Raw genomic sequence first — 4,967 nt, 5'->3', positions numbered from 1 at the left:
CCTCCACATCCTGGGTTCAAGCGATTCTTCTTCCTCAGCTTCCCAAGTAGCTGGGACTACAGGCACACACCACCACACCTGGCTAATTTTTGTATTTTCAGTAGAGACGGAATTTCACCATATGGGCCAGGCTGGTCTGGAAACGGAGTTTCACCATATTGGCCAGGCTGGTCTGGAACTCCTGACCTCGTGATCCGCCTGCCTTGGCTTCCCAAAATGCTGGGATTATAGGCGTGAGCCACCACGCCTGGCCCCAGGCTCTTTTAAACAACCAGATCTCACATGAACTAACTGAGCAAGAACTCACCCATTATCACAAGGACAGCACCAATCCATTCATGAAGGATCCACACCCAAGACCCAAACATTTCTCATCAGGCTCCACCTCTAACATTGGGGATCTCATTTCAACATGAGCTTTGGTGGAGACATACATCCAAACCATATTAAGGTAAACACGAGTTCATGCTGATTTCTCTAATTCTAATTACCACACAGATTATTCTAGCCTCTGCCTCTTGCTTGTCTGTAAGCTTTCCTTCTAACAAAGAGAACCCCACTTTCACCATTGGCCATCCATTTTCTTAATTGTTCAATTCCAATATACATGTATAATGATTTTGGAATTCTTAACCTGTATCCCTGTGAGAAACAACTAGTTTTTTTTTAATTAACTAGTATATTTACGGTGTTTATATAGAATGCCTTTTGCCTTATAATTACAGACTCCACTCATTTCCAAAGTTACAGAGGTCAGACCCTTATTCCCTCATCCTCTCTGGAAAGATTGCTTTGTATGTTCGCAACACATTTAGATTCCTTTGTCACATTCTGCATTTCGTGCTGAGTTCCCCCAACCTCCTAAATGATTTAAATTTTCATACATTAAACTTTACTTTTTGTATAGTAGTTTTAGGGTTTTAACAAATGCCTAATGTCTCATGTTCACTATTACAGTGTCATGCAGAATCATTTCATCTCCCCAAAAAACCCTGATTGCTTCACCTATTCAACCTTCCTCCTTGAGACCCTGTTGACCACTGATCTGTTTACCATTTCAGTAATTTTGCCTTTTCCAAAATGTCATATAATTGAAATACAGCATGCAGTTTTTTCAGACTCCTCTCTTTCACTTAGCAATATGCATTTAAGATTTTTCCATATCTTTTCATGGTTTGATAGCTCATTCATTTTTATTGCTAAGCAATATTCCACTGTATGAATGTATCGATCCCATTTTTCATGCACTTAGATTACCTTAAACTTATAGTTAAATCTTGCAACACTACCCAACATTGAAGTGTTTTCATGCAAGTTTTACACGGTCAGTTGGTCAATGCTGTCAGATGATCTACCAGTTCCTTCTCTCCCCACCTCCTGCCCAGAGATACCACACCTGCAGTTTTCCATGGTCACCCCTCCAATCTAAACTAGCAGTCCTTGGCCAGGCGTGGTGGCTCACACCTGTAATCCCAGCACTTTGAGAGGCAGAGGCAGGCGGATCACCTGAGATCAGGAGTTTGAGACTAGCCTGGCGAAAATCCATCTCTACTAAAAATTCAAAAATTAGCTGGGTGTGGTGGCACGTGCCTGTAATCCCAGCTACTCAGGAGGCTGAGGCAGGAGAATCACTTGAACCTGGGAGGCAGAGGTTGCAGTGAGCTGAGATGGCGCCACTGTACTCCAGCCTGGGCACCAGAGTCAGACGCCGTCTCAAAAAATATAAAATAAAATAAAAAATAAAATAAAATATAGAATAGAATAGAATAAAATAATAAAATAAAGCAGTCCTCTAACGAAGCTATAGAATCGTTGTCCTGGATCTGTTCCTTGATATCATGCTGAAAATTCCTTTGTCTCTCTCTGTAAACCTCTTGTTCCCTGCATCCAATGTCTTCCTTTTTCATGGTTTGTTTCTTTATTTTGGTGGAACATATCCTCCAGCAGCTTCTGGAGAAATAGTAAATGGAAAATGCACTTTAATAATAAGAGCAAAAATGGGCAAAAGTCACAGATAAGCAAAAAAGAAGGAAAGAAAGAAAGGAAAGAAAGGAAGGAAGGAAGGAAGGAAGGAAGAAAGAAAGAAAGAAAGAAAGAAAGAAAGAAAGAAAGAAAGAAAGAAAGAAAGAAAGAAAGAATAGAAAATGCACTGCTGAAAATTGTGGCTTCACTCACGATTGAGAGTTTGGCTAGATTTAGAATTGAACATTAAAAATAATTTTTACTCAGAAATGTAAAGAAATTGCTCCATCATTGTTATTGTTGATTTTAGCTCCCTACATTGTTGAGAAATCTAATGACATCTGATTCCTGTTTTTTGTGTGTAACCTATTTTGTTCTTTAAAGGCTTTTAGGATATTTTCTTAATCCATAATGTTCTAAGATTTCATGGTGTTGCGCCTTATCAATTTGAAGATTAATGTTCTTCTGTTCTGGAAATGTTTTTGTACTCTCTCTTTAATAACAATATTTTCTCTACCACTCTGCTTTTTTGGAGTGCCCATTTGTAGTTTTTAAACTTCATAAATCTTTTATTTTTTTATCTTTTTTCTCCTTAGTGTTATCTATTTAGTTTATCTGTTCTAATTTCTAAGAAGCATGCTTGATTTTATCTTCTAACTCTTCTGTTTAGTTTTTCTTTAATTTTTTCTATCATATTATGAATTTTAAAGTGTTTCTCTCTTATTCCCTGATTTTTAATATATATACATACATATGCATGAATGCATGGATGTGTGTGTGAGAGTGTATACATATGTATAAAAGATAGATGGCAGATAGATAGATATTCCTGTTACTAGTTTGTAGAGATATATTATCTTTTATCCATTTGGGGAAACTAATTATAGTTTCTTTGAAGTTTTTTCCTGTACCTCACATTGTATCTGTTTTCTCTGAACCCTCTTTTTTTCCTGTGTTCACTTCAATCTCTCTCATTGGACATTTTCCTTAAACATCCCTAGCAATCCTAGGCTGGCTATTCATACTTATAAGGCATTAAAAGTTTATTGAAAGCACCATATATATGGGTGGGACTTCACTGAAAGGAAATCTCTGGCTGTAGTCTTTCTGCTTTTTGTCAAATCAAACTTTTCCAGAGATTTTATATTCTGTGCTAACCCCACCTTCCCTGGTACCTAGAATCTGTTTCTGAGCCTTTTATGGGTTTTGAGAGGGAACCAGCTTGTTATTTAGGGTGCCCACATTTGCCCTTCTGTAACTCTTCCAGCTTGCCAAGTCACCCATCACTTCCCCCTCTACTTTCTATTTTCCTATATGGCTCAAACCTCAAGTGTCTTCTTACTAGTTTTCTTTACTTTTCTTTTTCTTTCTTTTTTTTTCCTGCAAGATAGGGTCTTGCTCTGTTGCCTAGGCTGGAATGCAGTGGTGGCAGTGCAATCATAGCTCACTGCAGCCTCAAACTACTGGGCACAAGCAATCCTCCTGCCTCAGCCTCCCAAGTAGCTGGGACTATAGCTGTGCATTACCACACCCAGATAATTTTTTTTTTTTTAGTAGAAATGAGGTCTCATTATATTGCACAGGCTGGTCTCGTCGAGCCCTGGGCTCAAGTGATCCTTTCCGGCCTCGGCCTCCCAAAGTGCTGGGATTAAAGGTGTTAGCTACCTCACCCAGCCAATATTTGTGATTTTAATTTTTAAAAATTAAAGACAATTTGGTTAATTTAATTTATTTATTCATTTATTTTTTACTTTATAGCTCACTGTAATGTTGAAAGCCCTTTTTGTTTTCTTCTGTGGGGAGTGGAGTGGAGGGGAGGTATGGGGCAGGGACAGTTGTCTTGCTCTGTTGCCCAGGCTGGAGTGCAGTGGTGCAAACATAGCTCACTGCAGCCTTGGATTCCTGGGCTCAAGCAATCCTTCTGCCTCAGTCTTCTGAGTAGCTGGGACTATAGGCATGAGCCACCATGCTGGCTAATTATCTAAATTTTTTGTGGAGACATATTCTTACTATATTGCCCAAGCTGGTCTTGAACCCCTGGGTTCAAGCAATCCTCCCACTTCAGCCTTTCAAAGTGCTGGGATTATAGGCATGAGCTATTGCACCCAACCCCTAATTTTCTTTTCTTTTCTTTCTTTCTTTTTTTTTTTTTTTTTTTTTGAGACAGAGTTTCGCTCTTATTGCCTGGACTGGAGTACAATGGCGCAATCTTGGCTCACTGCAACCTCCGTCTCTCGGGTTCAAGTGATTCTCCTGCCTCAGCCACCCGAGTAGCTGGGATTACAGGCATGCACCACCATGCCCGGCTAATTTTGTATTTTTAGTAGAGACGGGGTTTCTCCATATTGGTCAGACTGGTGTCGAACTCCCAACCTCATGTGATCTGCCCGCCTCGGCCTCCCAAAGTGCTGGGGTTACAGGTGTGAGCCACTGCACCCGGCCAATTTTCTAAATATAATTATGTTATTATTGGATTGGTAAGTAGTGTTACATTAGGACATTTTTCTTTATATCAGATTTACGTGATGGCCGTGAGTGTCATTCCCAACACACTTGTGCAGCTAGCATTCTGGGTGTAAATTAAGTTACACCAATTAGATCTATAGGTGGACTATGCAGCAAACTAAAACTTTTAGCTACAGCCAACCACTACCAAACATCTACTATCCACAGCAAAATAGCTACTTAGTAATGTCTGCAGTGGATGCCTCTGTTTTTAATTGGAATTGGAAGTGCCAATGGAAGTGACCCAGTTATCCTTTCCCATTGCAATAGTGCTTTCTGTGTAAGCTCATTTGTTTTTGGCTGGTGTACTGAAAATCGAGCTAATGAATCTGGAAGATGAGGATAATCCATCAAAAACCAAGGCATCAAGATGACAGTATCAAAATAGAGAATACCCAACCATCAAAGTCCATTTACTGAGCAACTTCTGTTTGCCTGTGCCTCGGGCTGAAAACTAAAAAGTCACAACACCTTTCCTCATGGAGGTTTCAATTCACTTA

This window comes from Homo sapiens, chromosome 17 (genome assembly GCF_000001405.40).
Source record: "Homo sapiens chromosome 17, GRCh38.p14 Primary Assembly".
Classification (NCBI taxonomy): domain Eukaryota; kingdom Metazoa; phylum Chordata; class Mammalia; order Primates; family Hominidae; genus Homo; species Homo sapiens.
This window is presented reverse-complemented; position numbering follows the sequence as displayed.